The sequence below is a fragment of the Homo sapiens genome, chromosome 1 (assembly GCF_000001405.40).
Source record: "Homo sapiens chromosome 1, GRCh38.p14 Primary Assembly".
In the NCBI taxonomy this organism is placed as follows: domain Eukaryota; kingdom Metazoa; phylum Chordata; class Mammalia; order Primates; family Hominidae; genus Homo; species Homo sapiens.
The window spans coordinates 165,542,069-165,564,272 of record NC_000001.11 but is presented as its reverse complement, the minus strand read 5'-3'; the positions used below and the strand labels follow the sequence as shown (position 1 = coordinate 165,564,272).

General features: G+C 43.8%; 1 protein-coding gene and 1 long non-coding RNA gene across 2 annotated transcripts in view, besides 1 other annotated feature; one reads left to right on the top strand and one right to left on the bottom strand.

Moving 5' to 3' along the window:
* Positions 1–22,204, top strand: part of LRRC52-AS1 (LRRC52 antisense RNA 1) — a 105,314-nt gene that overhangs the window by 17,883 nt on the left and 65,227 nt on the right. The gene's annotated exons all lie outside the window — the stretch shown is intronic.
* LRRC52 (leucine rich repeat containing 52) lies at positions 316–20,273 on the bottom strand. The gene is made up of 2 exons (NM_001005214.4): positions 19,355–20,273; positions 316–768 (listed from the first exon to the last, which is right to left on the bottom strand). Exons 1-2 carry the CDS (start codon positions 19,974–19,976, stop codon positions 449–451), a joined length of 942 nt encoding a protein of 313 aa, NP_001005214.2. The 5' UTR covers positions 19,977–20,273; the 3' UTR covers positions 316–448.
* Positions 2,834–3,363: an enhancer, noted in NCBI's record as "OCT4-NANOG hESC enhancer chr1:165530147-165530676 (GRCh37/hg19 assembly coordinates)". NCBI's record gives its function as "activates a minimal SCP1, AML or CMV promoter by ChIP-STARR-seq in naive and primed H9 embryonic stem cells {active_cell/tissue: H9 hESC(naive and primed)}" and the evidence as "EXISTENCE:reporter gene assay evidence [ECO:0000049][PMID:30033119]".

The window sequence follows — 22,204 nt, the reverse complement described above, 5'->3', positions numbered from 1 at the left end:
ACATTCCATTAATGTTAGTTCTTATCATTGTCTTATACTTTTCTCCATTTGATTAATATTAATCTTCACTTCCACTTAAATTGTTTGCTCTTTAGGGAAGATCTTAAATCTTGTATTCCTTGTATCCATCCCTCCAGCACTTAGTTTGGGGACATAATATGTACTTATTAAACATGAGATGGCTTACTTTTGGGGTAGACTTTCTCGGTATTTAGGTGCATCCAACAACGTTTCTAGATTTTGTTCTACCCCATCCTGCTGAGCTCAAGGAATCATCCTCGGGCTGGTGCAGTGGGAAGGGACCAACCTGTGAAATGGCCATCAGAGATTTTATTTATTTTACTAGAAGGTTTCAATCTCTATGACAGCTCCAAGGTGGTGGGATGGGGAGGGCAAGAGAGAAAGCAGGGAGCCTGGGGGAGGCACATAAGATAGTGGTCTCTGGCAACTAAATAAGCTGAGGGAACTCCTGGACCGAGCTCGTCTGGGTTTGAAAAATCCGCCGGCTGACTTCCACCCTAGTCCCGGCCTCGTCCTCATCTTCTTCACTCGACTTGTGGCGGGTGTTCTGGTAGAGCACAGCACACACACCTGTGAGCCAGGCAGCCACAGTTCCCGCGGCGAAGATGCAGAAGCCGATGAGCAGCAGGAAGATGTAGTCTTTGTGGTCCAGGTGCGTGATGCACATGTATCGGAGTGGGTTCCCCACCCGGGTGATGGGCCACCCTGTCAGCTCTGTGGGCTCCACACATGTGGCATTTAGATCATCTAAGAAGAAAAACACAGCAGGCAGGGTGCTGAAACAGCGTGACTCCCAGCGTCCTAAGGCCAAAGGGGATCAGGAGGGACCATCTGCACCCTCAGTGCTCCAAGTGTGGTCTGTGGGCCAGCAGCATCGACATCACCTGGACCTTGTTAGAAATGCAGAATCTCAGGACCCACCTGTGACCTCCTGAATCCAAATCTGCATCTCAACAAGACCTTCAGGGTATCTGTTGCACATTGGAGTTTGAGAAGTACTGGGCCTGGACTGTTCCTTGTCCCCAGGCTTTGCTGCATTCAGGCCATGAAAATGCTTCTTAAGGATGCTCAAGGAAGGAGAGGCCACAACAGGGGTGGGGAGGTTGGAAGGTTAGGCAAGATTGCCATGGAGTGTTGACATCTCTCTGTTCTTTACCAGTCACCTCCCTCTTGCCCCTCCCTTGCCTCCATCCCGACTTTCCCTTCACCTTGTCCCTTTCTCTTTAGCAGTAGCTGAGTCCAACCTGGCATCACTAGCATCCCCCGAGAGCATTGCAAGCCACTCAACTATAGGCTTCAGGAGACGAGATTCTCCTGAAATGTTTACTGTGTGTTCTACCCGCTCACCACTTTCCCCCCGGAGCAAGTCAGGGGAGCCCAGGGTAAACAGGTTGCCAATAGGGAAAGCAGTTCTGCTTCTTGGTGGTGATGTTGGCCATCACTGGCTGATTATGTCATCGACATGAGTCTTCAGTCAGTCTTAGTAGCTGACTCAGCTTCCTGGCTACTTCTCTGAGCACCTCCCCATATGTAGCGCCATGGCCTTCACTATATAACAGAAAGAAAAGTGGGCTCTGGAGCTAGACAGGCCAGGCTTCTAATCCAGATTCTGTTACTTGCTAATTTTGTAAACTTCAGCAGGATACCGGATTCTGTCTCTGAATTCCGTTTCCTCATCTTACCAGTGCAAAGAATGACACTTCTCAGGGTAGTTGAGAGAACTGACTGACATAGGTAAGAAGGCACAGGTGATTGTGCCTCAAGCACGGAATCCTCGGAGCCCTATCACTGCCCCTACATTTTTCTAACTCCATATACTCTTCCATGCTGAGGCTGAGTGCTTGTGTGATGTGCTCAGGTGAATGTATCCAGCACACACTAGATCACTGAGCTCCGGCTCAGGGCTTGAGACAACCATAATCAAAATTATAATAGCAGCCAGTATTTGCTAAGTGCTTACTATGCACTAAGTTATTTACAAATATCTCATTTAATTCTAATAATAACCTTGATGCACATAATATTATTTTCCTTGTCTTACAAATAAGGAAACTGAGATTCAGGAGATCCCATAACTTGAAGGTTTTAGATAACTGCAGAATCTAGATAGAAGATAGAAGACAGAAGACAGAAAGCCAGTGTGAGCTTGCTTTGCGTAAGTGGGATTTGCAAACAGGAGCTATTGTGGAGAGGAGTTTCCTCTAAACTTCAGGGCAGGAACTGCCTGACTAGTGAAAACATCACTATCCTTGGTGACCCAGGATGTTAGGAAAATCAGGTTCAGTTAGGTAAATCCTAATGGGGGCTGGAAGCAGCATTCAAAGAAAAAGTACAGAAGTAAGTTGGCTGGGGAGAAGGCATTTGGGCTTATGGGTGGCTGGAAAGAGCAGTCCTCTTCACCCGGACACCAATACTTGCCTCTTGCTTCTGTATCAATGCACCTACAGCAAAGTCATTTTGTTTTGTTCAGGAAGATGGTGTGCAGTGTGTAATGCTGTTTAGGACTCAAGCTTTTAGACACAAGAGGGGAAGCCAGTGCACGAACTGTGTCATATCCACTGTTTGTAATGATTACAGAGGAAGGGAGAGGAAGAAGCCTCTCTCTAGACAGTGTGGGATGGTGGCCCTCAGGGCAAACCTGCCCCACCAGAGAGCTCTCAAGTAGAGGGAAAGGAGTTGAGGGCTGAAGTTGCAGGAACACAATTATGCCTCTGTACCTCTTTCTAGTCAGCCTGGCTTGAGGACCTCTGTGGCTTTGCCCAGGAGGCCTGGGCATGGGGCTCCCATGAGCAGGGGAGGCGCCTGGGAGCTCTCCAGGAATTCTATCGAGAGAGAGCTCAGGTCACCTGCCCAAACTGTGGGAGACACATGAATCTTCAAAGAAAGATGTATTTGAGAAAGGCAAACATGGGATTCGGAGGGTCTGGGATGTGTCTAGGGGGGTTTATCTCATTCTATTTTTAAAAAGATTGGGCTTTCAAATTGCAGCTTGGGCGGCAGAGATGAGACTAAACATCACACACGTTTCCCCATTTTGGAGCATTAACTTTGAAAGGAGCAATTAGGCAGTGATTTTAATGCATTGTTAGGCTGCTAAGTGAGGGATGTGGGTGGCTTTGTTGGGAGGGAGGCCTGGGTTTCTCTCCCACTGAATTATCTCCCCCTCTTCCCAGTCGCAGTCACTGCCAAGATTTGGGCTCTCCCCTCCCGGGCTCCCTATCTCCATTGTTTCCTTTTCCCAGCTCGGGGCCATTTCACACACTTCTGCCAAATTGCCTTCCCCAAGTACAGCTCTTCTCGGTCACACTCTGGCTCAAAACAGTCCTCTGACCTCCTGTGAACCTCAGAATAACACCCAGACCATTTGGCCTGGCATTCAGAGCCCCTCAGCAGCTACCCTTCTCCCCTTCCCTCCTTCTCAGCACTGCTGGTAACCTTTGCTCCAGTTAAATTAAACTACATATTATGCCTTGATTACACCTCACCCTTGCCCTCATCTATAGTTACTTTGTTACACTGCTCCTTTTTTGTCAAATGCCTCATACCCCTAGTTTTGCAGGATCATGTTCTTCCCATCTTTTAAGATCTAGCCTAAATGCGTCTATTCCAGGGAGACCTCCCTCAACCACCCCGTCCTCAGAGCTCAGAGGACATGTGATTGTTCCCACTCGTGAACTCATCCCTAGCATTTCCTTGTGTCATTCTTAAGTACCTATCACATTCTATCTTGCATGATGGTTATTTACAATGTGCATCCTTTCTCCCCTACCAGGTAGACTTTTAGCTCTTAAAGGTATAAACCATGTCTGATCATTATTGTTCTTGTTAATAAGAGCTATCATTCATTGACTGAATTGTGTAATTTGTAAAATTGAGGGATGTTCTGGTACTTTTTTAAATTATGAGATTCTAGGTTAATCCTACTATTCTGGTTTAATTCTATAGAAACACTCTGATCCTTTGAAATTTCTTGAGAATTTGCTATATGGCTGAATGTAAGGTCAATTTTGGTACATTTTCCATGTGCTACAAATATATTATACAGTAGATCCTCTAACAACATTATTTCATTCTATGTCATTTTGTTACAATGTTAATGAGAAAAAAAGTATTCCCAGCCAGGGCCACTGTCTGTATGGAGTTTGTGTGCGCTCCCCATGTCTGGACAGGTTTTCTCCAGGTGCCCTGGTTTCTTCCCACATCTCAAAGATGTGCATATTAGGTGGACTGGTGTGTCTAGATTGTGCCAGTCTAAGTATGTGTGAGTATGTGTATGCATGGCCCCCAATGGAATGGTGTCCTGGCCAGGGCTGCTTCCCACCTTACACCCTGAGCTGCCAAGATAGGCTCCAGCCACTCACAACCCTGAACTGAAATAATTAGGCAAATATTATCTTACTTGTTTGTATAAATCTTTCTTAAATGTATGTATGTTTCATATTTCAATGCTAAATATTAGAAGGGTTTTTTGATCTTTATTAGAAGTTTGATGATGTTTTTGTGACTAGAAATAAGCTTTAGAAACTTAACTCTTGCTTCTATCAATTAGCCTATGGTAGAGTTGGCTTTGCTATATGTCATTTTGCTTAAAGTGGCAGTTTCTAAGAACCTATGGATATTAAGTTAGGATTTACTGTATTCTTTGTTGAGTACATTGTTCTATGCATGTCAGTTAGGTTGTGGTGGTGTACTGATTTTCTATACCCTTATTGACTTTTTATTTATAAACATCTATTGTCTCTTAGTTATTATTAGACAATCGTCTACTAGTTCCTCTAATTATTTAAAATTACCAGTTTTTACTGTGCATTGGTCTGCTCCATATAGTTCTTTCAAGTTTTGCTTCACAATTTTTTTTTTTTGAGACAGAGTTTCACTCTTGTTGCCCAGGCTGGAGTGTAGTGGCATGATCTTGGCTCACTGCAACCTCTGCCTCCCAGGTTCAAGTGGTTCTCCTGCCTCAGCCTCCTGAGTAGCTGAGATTACAGGCACACGCCACCACGCCCAGCTAATTTTTATATTTTTAGTAGAGATGGGATTTCACCATGTTGGCCAGGCTGGTCTCGGACTCCTGACCTCAGGTGATCCTCCTGCCTTTGCCTCCCAAAGTGCTGGGATTACAGGCGTGAGCCACCACACCTGGCCTTCACTTTACAAATTTTAAAGCTGTGTTATTAGGTGCATACAAAGTTATAATTGTTAGGTCTTCCTGGTAGAATTACCCTTCTATCATTGACCAATATCTCTCATTATCTCTAGTAATGCTTCTTGCCTTAAAGTTTACTTTGTTTAACATTAGTATGGCTGCATTGAAATTCTTTTGGTTAGTGTTTGCATTGTGTATCTTCTTCCGTCCGTTTACTTTTAATCTTTCTATGTTCCTATATTTAAGGTATATTTTTGTAAGCAGTATGTAGCTGGGTTTTGTTTTTCATCCAAGCTAGCAAACTTTGTATTTTAATAAGCCCATTGACATTAAATGTAATTACTGATATATTTGGATTTATACCTAGTATCTATTTTTTTATTTGTCTCACTTATTTCATGTCCTTTTTCTAACCTGTTGCCTCCTTTTTTTAAAAAAATCATTTAACTTCCTTTTCTTTAGCTCGTTAACCATACCTTCTTTTACTATTCTAGTATGATGACTTCAGAGGTTTTATACCCATCTACTGATCCTGGAGTGCCTGACATGTGCTAGGCACTATATGAGATGCTTTACAAAATTAAGCTCTAAGCTCTACTTTTGATCACCCCACAGGGTAGTTTTAATTATTCCCATGCTATGGAATGAATAAACTATACATCAGTTCTTCCTTCTCTGGCTTTCTTAATTTCCTTGCCTCTCACACAGGGGGTCGGCAAGTACTGTTTTACATGCTGTGCACTGCACAACTCCAGGAGCTTCCATTAATTTTATAGACAGGTGACCCAACTTTATGCCATCCCTTTCCTCAGCCTCACTCCAGTGGGCCAGGCATTAACTACAGATGTCATTAATATTGAACTTCTTATTGCAAATAGTTCCTAAGGAAACATAAACCACCACCTGGTTTATTTCTGTACACAACATATTGCTCAAAGGCAGAAAACCTCTTTGTCAGAATCAGATGCATGGAAGAACTACGGTGTCTGGGTCCTGGAACCACACCTATTAGTGTAGGAGCCAAGGAGGCCTCTCTTTCAGAAAACAGTATTGAACCCGCCAGTTATAAGGGGAAATGGTTCTTTTCTTGGTCTTCAGGAGGGACCCCAGTTCTGCCCAGGGCTGTGCTGCAGGTTCCCAGGGCCTTGGTGCCCCCAAAGGAGCCAGGCCATGGGCAGGTTGCTCGAGCCCCTGTGGCAGCTTGCTCAGGAACCTTCTGGGCTGACTGGAGGGGTGAGCATCTAGGCAGTGGCAATGGAAAGCAAGAGGGTGGAATCTGAAGGCATTGCAATTACTTCTCAGTGAGGAAATTATGTTTCTATCAGCTTTATGCACCTTGTCAAGCACTTCGTCAACTTCTACCCTGGATCTAGAGAAAAGCCTAATTCCCCCATTTTTTCTTTTAGGCCCCAGTCCACCCAAATATCACTAGATGTACAGTGCTTTGCCTTCCATTTTTTTGCAAGCTAAATTATGTTTTTGTCAAGGAAATTGATTTGCCACCTATTCATTTTTCTGACTCCACTCATTAGATTACAGATACTATGAGCATAAGAATTTTTTGTCTGTTTTGTTCACTGACGTCTATCAGGATGCTAGAGCACAGGGCGTATTTGTTGAATGAATTGATTGTTATTCAAACCCCTTGGGCTCACTGTCCCTGACGTAATGCTCAGGTGGAGGAAAGGGAACCTGAGTGGTAGAATACCATAGGTGGGTCAGCTGACCTTGGACTGCCTCGGACACTCTACACTGGGTGAGTACCAATCCCTATGAGAGTCTGGGGAGGGTTCAGTGAGCTAAGTGAAGCTCCAAGGAGGCAGGAATGGATGCTCTCTAGGACCAAATGGAGGTATAAGCCTTGAACTGGGAAGAGCACCTCCTCTGTCCTGTGAGACTGAAGAGAAGGAAACAAGGGTAAGAGTATGAGGACAAACTGCTGCAGACATGATATCAAAAGGTAATTATTATTATTTCCAAATTACTTTTCGAGAACTGTTTGAGAGCAGAGACCCTTTTTCTGTACTCTTGTATCCTTAGTGCCTGGCACACAGTAGGTGCTCAATAAATGAATGCAAGGGTGGATTATTGGTCTGATCTCCTATAGCACTTTTAAAACTCTGATGTCTTTGGCCTGTTGTTTAGGACAGGTTCCCCAAATGGAATATGAAGGGATCACTATTATATATTCTGTCGTACTACAGGTGCCCAGAGGAGATGATTCCCTAGAAGGAAACCTAGGTTGGGCAATATGACTGCTCAAGAACACCAAAGCCAACTGGCCAACAAGGCCCCTTCTCAGATCCTCATGCACAAACCTATGAGAATTTCAAGCCCTGGCACTGGCTTCTACCTTTGCCTTTCTGGAGCTCCACTTACTCATTGCCCAGCTGTCATGCAATGATGGCATAAGCCAGGGGTCAGCAAACTACAACCTGTGGGCCAAATCCAGCCTGCTGTTTTGTAAACAAAGTTTTATTGGAACACAGCTTTCCCATCCTTTTGCATATTTTCTAATGCTGCCTTCACCTTAATGGCAATGTTGAGTAGGTGCAATGAAGACCCACAAAGCCTAGAATATTTACTATTGGCCTTTTCTGGAAAGTGTGTGCTGACTCCTGGTCTAATCCATCCTAGGCACCTTAAAACCTTAAGGATTTGTGTTATTTGGGCTTGTGCAAAGTATAATTCTTATCTGGTATTCACAATTTCCCCCCCTTGTATATAGAGTCTATAGATTTTTAAAGGTTAAAAGTGATTCATAGACTCATGGAACATGGAGATGAGACCTTGACGTTTAGCAAGTTCAACCTGATTATTCCTGTGCTTTACAGGTGTTTTAGGTTACAGAACTGGTCTCGTGTATAACTGGTTGCAAATGGGCATGATTCAGAGGCAAAAAGCTTTCTTTTTCTCATAATTCCTTCTCATGGGCTTGTCAGTACCCAGAACTCTGTCAGTGGGAGATGAAACATTCCATTTCACCAATAAAATAACACTCAAAGTGTAAAGTTTTCTGAAAAAGAAGCAAATGACTTAATCCCTACTCAGGGGTAGCCCCCTGCTACCACCTTTTGGTGGGGTGAGGGGAACAAGCTGCATGGTGGGGCTGGCGGCTGGGACCAGGTTCTTCTTGGAAGTTAAAAATTAAATTTTTTTCTTCTAGTTTCTTCTCAGTTTGGCCTAGAGCTGAGCCTGCTTAATAACTACCCATCTGCTCAGAAAAATCCAGAGAGCAGACAGTTGTCCTCATGGATAACAAACCATTGTGAAACCCCAGGAGCCGAAGGGCACCATCATTCACCAGTTCACCAGGCAGAAACATCAGGCAGAAATTGTTTGCTTCCTCTTTCACATTACATGTTCAGATCATAAGCAAACCCTGCTAGTCCTACCTTCAAAATGTATCCTGATTCTTACCTCTTCTAATTACCTGGACCATTGCCCTGGTCCCAGCCAGTGTCCTCTTTTGCCTGAACTGTGTTGGCCTCTGAATGTGTGTCCTTGCTTTTTCCTACAATCTCTATCTGGAGACAGCAGTGGGAGCAATCTGTAATTACAGATCATGTCACTTCCCTGCTCAAAATCCTTCCATGACTTCCCATCACACTTAGAATAAAATCAAAAGCCTCTCCATGGCCTATCTACCCTACGTGACCTGGCCTCAGTAATTTTCTATCTCATTTCTTCCCTTTCTCCTTTTCCTTCACTCTGCTCCAGCCATATTCCCTTTCTATTCCAGCCCAGAGCCTTTGTGTTCGTTCTCCCCTTGGTCTAGAAAGACCTTCTTCCACCCCTTGTAATATTTCCTTGGCTTCTCTCTCACTTTATTTCAGTTCTCTGCTCAAAACCACCTCCGCAGGCCCACTGAGCCTGAAGTATCTGCCTTGTTCTCAATCTCAGGCACACTCTTCTCTTCCCCTCTCTTATTTTCCTCCATGGCACTTGTTATTTGACATTATGTCATATGTCAATTTATTTATTGTCTTCTTCTCCCACTAGAATGTAAGTTTCATGAGAGCATGTCTGTTTCTGTTCACACCAGTATGCCCCGTGCCTGGCCAAGCGGCTGGCATCTGATTGGTGCTCAGTAACTGTCAGTGAATGCATGTACTCAGATCCCAGTCTGGGCTCCTTACCTCTTTGTAAATGTCAAATAGGGATGACAATGCCTGTGCCTCATCTCAGCCAAATGCTGTGACCAAAGCATCTTGGCTGTTAGAAGAAAATGCATTGAAAATTACAAGGGTTTGTCTAACATGACTTTAATTCCATCTTAACTATGTTTTAATTGGATGCATTGGATTTTTAGTTATTCTCTTATTTGGGTTGAGGAGAAGGCCAAATTCTTCTGTGTGATCAAAAAAGCTATCATTGGCCGGGTGCAGTGGCTCACACCTCCCAGCACTTTGGAAGGCCAAGGTGGGTGGATCACTTGAGGTCAGGAGTTCCAGACCAGCCTGGCCAATGTGGCAAAATCCATCTCTACTAAAAATAAAAATTTGTCTAAGCATGGTGGCACATACTTATAGTCCCAGCTCCTGGGGATGCTGAGGATCACCCCAGCCTGGTAAGTCAAGGCTGCAGTGAGCTGGGATTGCACCACTGCACTCCAGCCTGGGCAACAGAGCAGCAAGAGTCTGCCTCCAAAAAACAACAACAACAACAACAACAACAACCACCTATCATTGCATATGGGTCATGCAGCAGATTAGGTGTTTTTTATGACATCATCTTGGAAGCTTTAACGTCCCCCTCAAGAGCTCTGGCTCCCCCAAGTTGAACTCCTTGCCTCTGCTCACCCTGTTTGTTTCTGCAAACCCACATTGCTTTACCCGTCCTCTGCATCTCGTGTGACACTCAGAATCACTGCCAGGCAAAGAATTTGTAACAACAACGACAGCTAGCATTAATTGAACATGTACTGTGTGCAGTTCTAAAATCTTCATGTGGGTTTTTTCATTTAATTATCACAACTTGAGGAAATAGGCACTATTTTATCTGCATTTTGCACATGAGGACTTGGGTTGGATGGAGATTGTTGCCCACAGTCAAGTAGTCGGCAAGTGACAGAGGCAGGATGAAATGACAGGTGGCCTGCATCCACAGCCCACCTTGGTGTTGCCTGCTCAACTAGGATGTGAGCATCTCAAGGACAATGGATATTTTATAGTCGCCTAATTGGATTGGTGTTATGGAAGCTTCATAGAAAACATTACATGAAAATGTGTACTTTATAGATATATAGTCATTTTTTGTCTTTCACCTCACTGAAAGAGAAATACAGGCACCAATTGGGCCCCTCAATTGTATTTGTCCCCTGTTATTACAGTCACCCCCATCTATGTTTACCCTCGCCTCCTTCTCTGCAGTCCCAGAGGGCAGAGGGGGTGCCACTCCCCTTTCAAGGATTACCCCTTGGAGATCATCCATCCATTTCTGTCCTCTCAGGGACTTTACCCCACCAATGACTTCCCCTCTTTCTTGTATCTTTGTCCTTTTTCTCTGCATCGACTCTTTCCATCAGCAGATAAACACATGGTTGGATCTCTTTTCTCCTAAAAATCCTCCTTCTTCATTTGTTTTCTCTCCAACTAGCACCCTATTCCCTTCAGTCCACAGCCATGCTTTCTAGAAGAGTAGTTTACATGGTTTACTCCTTCACACCTTTTATGTTCAGTTCATAGCCCATTATGGATTGGTGTTCACTCTCATCATGCCAGCAGAACTGCCCAAGACATCAGGGATCCCTGGTGCTAAATCTGATGGACAGTTTTCTGTCCTTATCTGACCTGCTCCCACTTTTTGGAACTCTTTGGCTTCCATGAATTTATCCTGTTCTAATTTCCTTTGTCTGGGGGCTCCTGCTGTCCTACATGAGTTGCTCTTTCTTACTTGACCCTTTAGTATGTTGCATTCCCCAAAGCTTCTGTACTTGGCCCTTATTATCCTCACTTGAAACTCTTTTTCCTGATTGATCTCATCTTCTGTTAGGTTTCAGTGATCACTAGTAAGTTGATGATCCCCAAATATATGTATATTTTATGCCCTGTCCTCTATTCTGAATTTCAGGTCAGAACATACAAATGCCTAGTGTTTTACAGGGACTTCCCACTCAGTAAGGTCAAGATGGGACTTGACTTCTAGCCTGACTTCCTCACTGCCCTCCTCCAAGTGTGTTTATGTCAGCAAAGCCCCCACACTGTCCAAGCCAAAGTCTTGGGAGCTACCATTGATTTTTCCCTTTTCTATATTTTCTGTATCTCATTCATTCACTCAGGAAACACTAGTTGAGCATTTTCTCTGTGTCAGGCCTGTGCTTGTTTCCGAAGATCCAGATCTGCTGTCATAGAGCTTCCGGTCTATCAGGGAAGACAAATGTTAAATGAATACACATTTATTAATTAGAATTGTGCCAGAAGTTACAAAGGGTGCACAAGAAACTATGAGAGGAGCTAGTTCAGTCCCAAATCCTGTTGCTTCTGCCTTCTAAATGATTCCTTCTCAAATGTCTACACCTCTCCTCCTCACTGTTGCCATAGGCTGCCATACTGTCTGGCTTGAACGCCTACGGGAGCTTCCTTCCTAGCCTTACCTCCAGCTCACTTGCCTCCCAAGACTTCTTAGGATATATTGCATGTTCCCCAGAAAACCATTCAAGGCCCTTCCTAGCTGGGCCCCCATTCTTTTCTCTAGCCACATCCATCCTTTGTAGGATTACCTCCAGGATGAGGAGCTCTTCACCTTTAAAGATGAGCAAACTGAGGTTGGCTGCTTTAGCCAGACTTGAACTGCTGTTTTTCAGAGTCCTGAGTGATGCTGGGTGACCTGAGGGGCCAGGTGTAGAAATCTGGCATTTCTGAGCTTGGAGTAACCTTCGATCACCTACTCTCAGGGATCCCAATTGGCCTGAGTCAGGGAGTGTGTCAGCATCACCCAGGGGTTCCTAAATGTCCCATGCTTGCTGCTCCTATCCCTTCTTGGATTTTCTGGGTGGCTTAGGGATCACTGACTCAGTTGCACCCCTCTCAGCCCCCTCCTTGCCCTCAGGAGGCTGCTGTTCTGGCTTTCAACAGCCTTGGAAGCCTTGGAGCTGCTGGTTGCCCAGCCTTTTTTTTTTTTTTTTCTTTTTTAGCCTTTGGTCTTTATTTTAATTTCCCTGATGGAGGACATGGGTAAGCATTGATAGTGGAATAACGTGAGGACCTGAATTCATTCCGGAAATCTAAGTTTGGGCACAGTTGTGGATGACTTTGTACTTGGTAGGTAGAAATGGGGCCATTATCCCATTACAACAGTCTTGAATACAGGATGATATAACCTCGTAATGAAACTAAGATGTTCTCTGCTCAAAACGCCCTCAAAATGACTTGGACCTGAAGCAGCACATGACTCAACCCATCTGCTCCCTGCAGATGGCCCTGAGTGGCTTTGTCCACTGCCTCTGCAGCACCCTTGCTCAAGCTCCTCTGATGTGTGGGCCCCACCATCAGGCTCATTTAGTACTGGCTAAGGCTATCAGAGCTGACACAGAGGGGACTCTCTGTCCTCAAACCGCCCCACTCTAGCCCCTGGTAGCCTGTCACTTTCTGAATTCTCACTGTTTCTGGTTGTTCCCTGTCAAATTGCAAATGCTCCCTGAGGGGATATTTCAAAACACTAGCCATTAGCATCTCAGAGCAAATCGATTCATTTACTAATTGGAACAGCCACTGAAGGTCCAGAACACAGGCCACTGTTCTAGGGTTTCTGAAAAGTGGCCTAAGGACAACCGGCATGAAGAGTTGACTGAATCAGAACCTCAGGGCATAGGACCTGGGATTCTTGTGCTCATTAGAGTTTGAGAAGCACTGTTTGAGCAGGTCTGGCCTGGGAGGAAAGTCTGGGGCAATGAGTTTCTTGGGGTGGAGGCATTGTTTTAGTGAAGTTGAGGGTGCTTAATATAGGAGGTGGGAGAGTACAGGAGTTAGAGGCATCTGTTTCTTAAATGAACTTCCTAATTATGTGATGTAGCCCTCATCACTGGGAACACCTTCGCCTCAGCACTTGCCACTCTGCACTTGCTCACCTGGGACCTTGCCTGCTGAGCGCTGTTCTCCTCTCACCTCCTGTGTGCTTATCTTTCTATTTAGGTCCATAGGCTACCAGCTATAGGAGGCCTTTGAGGATCTCTAACCCAAATCCTTTATTTTAAGGACAAGAAAAGTGACTCTTGAAGAAGGAAAGTGAGTTTCCCCATATCACACAGTGGCATTTCTGGGATCAAGACAGGGCTTCCTGGCTTTCAATTCTATTTTCTGTTTCTCGTATCCTAGATTATCTTATTCAAGACAAAAATTATGACTTTTTTTCTCGGTGAAACAGCCACCCCAGCATTATAATGCAATGTTGGGGACATAATGAATATACAATAAATGTTTCAGAGTTAAATGGATCATGATGTGCTTGACAGCAAAGAAATATCATGGCATCAGGGAAAAACATTGAACTTGGATGTCAGGATATCTCTGTGCTGGGCTTTTCTCTATAGCCACTTACCTGTGACTCTGGATTCTAAAGTTCCAGCTTAAACATCCTATGTTAAAAGGCTACCCTAACCAGTATGGTAGCCAGTAGCCTTAGGTGGCTATTTAAATGTATTGAAATAAAATAAAATAAAAATTCAGTTCATTTGTTCTAGCCAAATTTCAAGAGCTCAATGGCCACATGCGGCTAGTGACTACTGTATCCGACACCATATATATAGACTATTTACCCTGTTGCAGAAACTTCTATTGGACAGCATTAGAGCAGACTTTGCGGGTAGAGGGGAATGGGATGTATGAGGCTAGGTTTTGTATGTTTTGGAGCTTAGAGTTTGAGTGAGTTTTCGAGAGCCTCCTGAAAGCCATTCAACCCTGTCCCCTGAGGGAAATCAAATATCCTGGGAAGAACTCAATGACCACTCTCACCTTCAAGTAGCATTAATGACTGGAAAATAACAGTGCTGGCCAGGAATTAGTCCTCCCACTTGCTAACCTGGGCCAGAAAGGAAATGGAATGTGTGGGTCTGTTTTCAGTCTGTATTGGTCAGGGCTCAATAGAGCACCCTAGCAAGGGACACATTACAACACACCTCCATTTCTGCTGTAACTTTCGTGTTTAAAAAAATGACTACATTAACTCTTTGAGAACTGAATACTTTTCAGTACATCTGGTGAGTATGCCATTGGAGAGTTTCTTTTGAATCAGACCTTTGATTATGGTGCCAGATCTCGCCAACTTGAGAAAGTTTTGATATTCTTGTTCAGTGTAGCCTTATGATAAAATAAAATGAATGAAACACTGGGCTTCCTCTACAACCCCTCTATGGGGGAGGTCCTTAGCAAAAATGTGGCACATTTTTTGAAGAAGCGTATGATATTGCCCTCATGTCTTTTCTTTTAAGACCTCTCCACTTCCTTCTTGCACCTCTGTTTCCTTCAAGGTTCTCCACTGCTGCAGAATTAATCTTAGCTAATCAAATTCCCAAGAATTAACTCCTCCTTCTGATATGAGAGCTGATAAAGGCTTAAGGACACTTGTCTTATTCTTCCCAGGAGTTCATGTATTTTTGCAGTTTCTTTTTCAAGATCATAACACATAATTGGGACCCAAAAGGATGAACCTCTAGTGACTAATTTCAGCTTAGTGGTAGGAAGTGGATAGGGACACATTGGGGCAAAAGTATTTATTGCTCAGTTATACCATGTAGGTGAAGTCTTTCTCCTGAGGCTAGAGAAAGTTGCCTACACATCCCTAGAATGTAGTCTACACATCCACACCTGCCTCTGGAAGTGGAGCTTGTCTTTAGGTAGAGCTTTGGTTCTAGGTTCAGGTGACTCAGGAACAGGCACCCTGCTGCTGCTGGTCCAGCCCCAAGTCTCATGGCCCAGGCTGAGACAAAGTCTTGATTTGAGCTTCTGCTTTTGTTCCTTAGGGTCTGAAAACCCATGTTCTTAACTTATCTAATAATACCCAACTTAGTCAGAATGTGACATAGACTTGTCCTGTCCCTCCAGGATTCTCCTTGCCCCATTTTTGTATGGATTAGAGTCTTAGAAGCAGCTACCCACCTTCCCACATTCTATCTATATTCCCGCCTGCATCTCTATAGTCATATTTCTAGACAGGGTGCGTTGTCCTCTAACACCACGTATGCTGAGCCTTCCTGAAGTCCACTGCTTATCTAGGGGAACACTTGACTGCTTTCTGGTATTCTACTCTCTTAGTATCCTGTACCTTTCCTCATCTACCAACCATTTGTTTTTTGATTGCTTATGGTGTGTCAAACTTAAATGCTAATGGTACTTCATAAATGTTCTCATTTCATTTTATGACAGCCCTAGGAATGTTGGTTCTATTATTATCCTTGTATTCAAGATGAGGAAATTAAAGTTCAGAGAGGTTAAGTAACTTATCTTATATCCTGCAGATAGTCAGCATCAGGGCTAGAATTATAACCCGTCAATTTTATTACAGAACCTGAGCTCTTAACACTGGGCTCTGCTGCCTGAGGGTGACTGTCCTTCATCTCTTGGAGGACAAGTGGCTGCCCCAAGTGCCTGTCACCCCAGCAGGCACATGCTGGCCTCGTTTGTCCTGCCCTGTTTTGTTCTGTTATGCACAACTAAACTATGACATAGATATGGCACAGATGACCTAGAGTTACGTAAGTCTCCATATGCAACCTCAGGTTTCTTGGTTAGTTACCTTCATGAGCACTTGTTTGGCACATAGTAGGCACTCAATAAGTATTTAAATAGATAAATGGATGAACTGAATTGTAGCATGGAAGTCCTTTACTTCACTGCATTGCTTTTCAAGGAATATATATGCACTCTCATATTGCCCTTAATATTACACTACAGTGAAAATTTCCCAGGGCTAAGGTTCAGTATTTCCTTGGGCCTAAAATGAGTCTGTTTGTGAAATGGATTCTGTTTTATAAACACCAGATAACTCAGGTTATTTCATAGAAATCTTCCTATCTCCTGAAATGTGGATATATGTAGAGAGATACATGGGCTCCATGCTAGAATATGTCAAAGATCACCATTTTGATAACAAATGTGGTATAAATAGGTGGGCTTAAGTTTGAAACTTCACCAAGAATGTTTGCCAATAGCAAAGATATTTCCACGTAGCAGAGACCATGAACCATCATTTGAGAGTCAAATGAATTAAATACCTTTCCTTACATTGAGGTTTGGCTAGAAGGCAAGAGAAGCAGCTAATGAATTTTACTGTATGTGTGTTCAACTTTATGGGTATGCATGTATCTGTTCATGTATATGAGTGTGAACTTGTACATTTATGTGTGTGTATGTAATATGTGGATGGGTACGTAAGTAGGTATGTATGTATAAATGGTATATACGTGTGGGTATGTAAGTATGTATTTATATATGGTATGAACATATGTATATATGGTATATACAAACCTTTGTGTTTGCATATGTGTGTGTAGGTATTTGTGTTTGCATGTGTGTTTGTGTGCATATTTGTGATTGTATGTGTGTATGGGAAGGAAGAACCAGACTGATTAAGGCCCAAATGAGAGCAAATGCTAAGGTTAGATTCACCCTTTTGGAGTTGGGGTAGACTGGGGTGAAACCTGGGTTTGCAAGGGAAGTACAGGCATATCAATGGATTTATGACGGTTAGTGCTTATTATCCAATGAAAATGATCTCAAGATCATTTCCCAGTTCCAAGCGGCAGCCAGATAGAAAATAAAGCTGAAGTTTAGATGCTGTAGCCATATGTTTATAATATAACTTATATTTATAACTAAACTCACTTACAGGATGATAGTTATGTAATTTGAGGATTTACGAGATAGTATAGTCTTGTGGAAAAAGACCTGCATTTGAAATCAAGGGGTTCAAGTCACTTTCTTGCCATTTATCAGCTGTGTGATTTTGGGCAGGTGAGTCTATTTTCTCATCCAAGGATAGGGTTAAAAATACCAATCCTAGACTCTTCCACAGGCTGAGGGCACAAGTTTAAGTGTTGGTGTGACACTCATGCTAAAGGAAATGAGGTACCATGTGTGGAAAAATGGAGGGAGATGAGCAAATTAGCAGTTGTGGGTACGTGTGTGGGGTCCCACGGCTGGGGGATGAAAGCTTTGTCTACCTCACAAAACAGACTCTTCATTCATGAGGAGCTTATAATCTTGACAAGATAGACACTCCTTTCTGATGTCTTGGAAAATATGCGGTGAAAAAGATCTACTTTATAATCCCATTCAACTGTGGATTGAACTGAAGAGTCAAGGAGTCCAAAGTGGTCAGCCTGAAAATTCTGAGAAGATACAACTGTGCAAGCAGAAATCTGATGAAGGGAGATGGAGTGGGAGGTGAAATGGTAGGCTTAGGTGCTGGGGTGGAAGCCAAGCTATGTTACTCTTGTCATCTGGGGTGGGAGGTCCCACTTGCAACCTGATGGGCTATACTCAAGGAAAAGTGCATGTATGGTGGGGAGGGGCAAAAGAAGATGACACCCTTCCACAGGCTAATTTACAGGAACATGGACAGGGGAGAATCCCCTTTATGGACCACAGGTCATGCATGAGGATGATTAATATTGAACCTCTTTGATAGTGCTTTCTAGACACTATCACAGTTTTGGAGAAAAGTAGAAAACATTATCTCTGCCTCCTAGAGTTGGTGTTATAGAGAGGCAAGGCAACCTACCTGAGATAACTGCTTCTGCATTCTAGTCCTGTTGGAAGATGGTCTGACAAAGTTAGTTTCTTTTGATTTATTCTAACAACTCAAGTTGAGGTATCTGGCAGTAGGGTCAGGTGTCTAAGGCACAACATTTAAGGAGGCACTGACTCACAATGTCTTATTCTCAGTGCACTCGCTCTCAGTGCCTCCTTAAATTTTGCCTCCTAAAAGCCCTGCTTGCCTCATCCCAGTCCAGACTCTGCCAGGAGGACTTTTTGAGACACACCCATTGGGAAGCCAGGAGGGCACGTTTTTTACTTACTGTCACCACTTGATTCTCTCTCCCCCAGTTCTCCTTGAAGTCTGTCATTCTGGCCAGGATTATTTCTAGCATATTGCCACCTGGGCAGTACTTCATGGTGGAAGTTTCAGCAGGAGTTTTATGAAGCTGCGTCTATGAAAACGTTTTCAAAGGCAAACACCCAGGGAAGACAGAAACTACATGGTTTTGACAGGATTTGATTTTCTACCCAGAGTCCAATTTTGCCGGATTACATCAGTGGCTCCAGACTTTCTGTGAGGAGTTATTTCTCATTTTTCTGAAGCTCTGACTTTCCTGGGTAAAAATGCTATTATTGGTGGAGAGAAGAATTGGAGGGTAAGGATGAGACAGTAAAGTCCCTAAGATAAAGAGGGAATGAAGCACAGGGGCCGTGGCAGGCCGGGTGAGGACAGCGGGTAGAGTGGTGGCAAGGAGCTTGGAAATCTCCCAGGTAAGAGCTGAGCATCTATCTACCTGTAAGACTAGAATCTCTCTGCTTGACACAGTGAGCACTGGACCCTTTCTCCATTGATTCATGCCATTCTCTCCTTCCATAGGAGGCCAGCATCTTCAAAACAAAGCAGCTATCAAAAGCCCTTTCTTCCTTCTTCCCTCCCTCTCTCACTGTCTGGGTAGCTCACGTGCCCCTCCTTCCATCTTTATGTTAAACTTTCCTTTCTATATATCATAATCCTATATGAATGACTGAATTTACTTTTTGATCCTGGAAAAATTCAGTTGCTGAATTAAACAGATTAAAACAGTTTACCAACAGAATACAGTGTCCCTATATTACCTTGTCACTTTGCAATTAGAGTACTTCATCATTTCTACACACATCATATATTTGATGCAACTCTGTGCCTTAGGTAATATTATTGTCCCCACTTTATGGATTAGAAAACTGAGGCTCAGAGAAATGGTGACATTTTCAAGGGTAGCCAACTGGTAAGTGCTGAGTTTGGGACCAGAACTCAGCTCTTTGAATTCCTATTTCAGAACTTTTTCTTACTGCTACTCCAGTCAACCCAAGGGTGGGCCCTGCAGAGTAATAAGAATGCATTCAATCAGCTTCACCCAACTTTTTCTCCCATTCTGACCATCTTTTGAGTTCACCTTTTCTGGAGCCACTTCAATCACATCCTCTTCCCCACACCCAATCAAGCCCTCACCTGAGGGGTCCATATGGAACACTATTAAGAAGATGGCGAAGTCCAGGAAAGAGCAGTTGCACTTCCAGGGGTTTCCACTCAGAAACAGGGTCTCCAGAGTAGTGAGGTGGTATAAGGCAGCACTGTCCAGGGTCTGCAAGCCGGTATTTCTGAGGTCCAGGTACCTCAAAGAGGTGGTGTTGGCAAAGGTGAACTTGTGAAGCGATAACAGGTGAGGGTTGTTGGCAATGTTCAGCTGCACCAGGTTGCTGAGCACCGAGAAAGTGAATGGGGAGATCGAGGTTAGGTTGTTGGAGCTGAGGTCAAGGTAGATGAGTTTGAAGACCCCGATGAAGGTATAATCCATCACCTCTCGAATCCGGTTGTTCTGACAGTCCAAATAAACAAGGTCACTGAGGAGTCCTAGATGCATTGCTGGCAAACTAGTGATTCTGTTCTCGTTCAGGAACAGCCTCCGGGTGTTCAGGGGTATGTCAAGGGGGTATTCGGTTAACTGCTTCCCTGTGCAGATTACTTCTTGGGCTTGACACAGACAATTATTTGGACACTTTGACCCTGATACCAGCCCCATTCCAAAGGAAAAGAGTAACCACCCAGGGCCAGGGCCTGAAGCAAGGGACATAGTAAGAAGCCACAACCACCCTCCTTTCACCTTCCTGCGGGCTCTGTCCTCTGATCCGAAGGCTGCCGGTGGGGGGGTGGGGCGGGGGAGGGGCTCTGGAAAGAACTGTAACACTTTAGCTTTGTGCAAAGCAATTTTCCATTACAGGAGAACTGAACAGAAATTGAAACGCGAGGCTCAATGCCCTGCCGCCCAGCTTGGTGGCTCTGTCGCTCGCTCCCAGACTGCTGCTGGAAGCTTGCCCACTTGGCAGCTTTGAAAGGTCTCACCCTTTCCCTGCGTTTGCAAGTGAAGGGGAGCCAGGGGAGAGCCACATGACAATGAGGTTGCCAGTTGACACCTTTGTGATGTCAGCAGCCTCAGGAGACTGCCTGGCTGAGGGAAAGAGATTCCTCACCTCTCCTTCTGGGTGGTGTGAGGGTGTTTTATGTGTCTTGGTAAGCCAGCTGGAACTCCCTGGGGGAGTTGGGGCCTCATGGGTAGGGGCCTGCAGCATGTGTGTGTTGGAGACCAGGCTGGGTTCAGTGTGTGGATGTGTATAGTATCTGTACCCGCTCCCCATGGAGCTGTAGTAGATTAGGTGACATTGGACCCCCTAATCTGCAGGCCATAGAGGGAACATGGGACATCTCCAGGCCAACTCCTTTTCTTAGTGATGAGCAGTGACTTGCTTGAGGTCAGTTCTCAGTGTGGGTCTTTTCTTGGATATTGATTTGGATGGGTGCCAGTTTTTCAGTGTTGCCAGAAGAAGATGGGAAAGGGGGTGTTTCTTTTGAAATGAGGCAAGGGGAATTCCTCTGATAAAGTGGTACTCTTTTCAGACTTTATTCCTAGGATGTATACATCTCTGTCTGCATTTTGAATATATATATATGTGTATTTTTAAAAAGTTTTTGAATAAGTGTAAGCTACTCCTTCTAACACAAAACCCAAATGTATATATAAAAAATCTGAGTGCAACAATAGAAGTATTTTTTTACCACTCGTATTCTCCTAGGACTTTTAAAATAGTGAGTGCCTCTCTAGTACTTCTAGTGTGAGTTTATATTCATTAATTACTTGTCAGGTGATTAGTCTTTTGGAGCGAGGGATAGAAAACCTGGAAGCTGAAGAGTTGGGATGTATCACACACCCCGTGGAGGAAGGCATATCAGGCAGAAATAAGATAAAACATCTGAGGAGTTGAAACTTTTATTTTTGGGAAAATTGGATTTCATTTTTTAAAAACATTCATATATACTGAGTTGTGAATATTAGTAACATATTGAAACCTAAGCACAGTGCCTGGCACCTGGTATGTAATAAATGTATAGTGAATGAACAATGTGAGAATGTTTCTGATGGTTTGCTTCCTTCTCTTGCTTCTTTGCCAAGAGAGAAATTAATAAAGTCAGATGGATTTGTGGCTAGTTAGCTAATGCTTGATTGTTTACTTACTCAGCATTCCTTGGGTGACTGGCTGTGAATTAATATGATGACTTAGGCGTGTTTACCAAATTGAAAGTGACCTTATTTAAGTAGACATTTCAAATACTTAAAGTAATGACCCCAATGATAGCTGTACTAATTGAAGCATGACTTAATTGATAGGGCAGACACCCTTTCCTCATAATTAAAACAAATTCTATTAAAATATAAGTTCCTTTCTAGATCTTATGTGATTGCCGAGGAGAGAAATCTAGCACATGAAGTCTATAGAAAAGAATTAATTTCCAAAGTGACTGCTCTGGGAGCTGTGGCGAGGGTGTGTTTTGCTGGTGGAGTGTGGCAGGGATACTTTGTTTGGAAGGGCTGTGTTTGTTGTCTGCTTCCTTTCCATGAGAAATGATCACTGATTCACTCGCCAAAGCTCATGGAGTGATTTTGCTGACGTGTCACCTTTTCTTTTATGCCATTCTCCCTCTTTCTGACTTCTTCCCCTCAGACGGCCCCATCTCCAGGTTGCCCTACTTCATTTCCAGCCTCATTATCCATACTAGCTTTCTCAAGATAGTAGTCTCAGGATTAGGCCTACCTGTTTGGCCGTATGGTTACAAGTGCTCTGCTTAGAAAAGCCTTAGGTAAATATATCATGCTAAAGGTTATTGACTGACACCAGTCAGCTATGCCTGGCTCTGGAGTATTACCATTTTCACAAAGCACTATGAGTGGTTTAACCTCAGGGAATATTCTTTTTGTTTGAGGTAGCTGTATTGTTTTTGGTCCTGAAACCTGGACACTCATGGGCT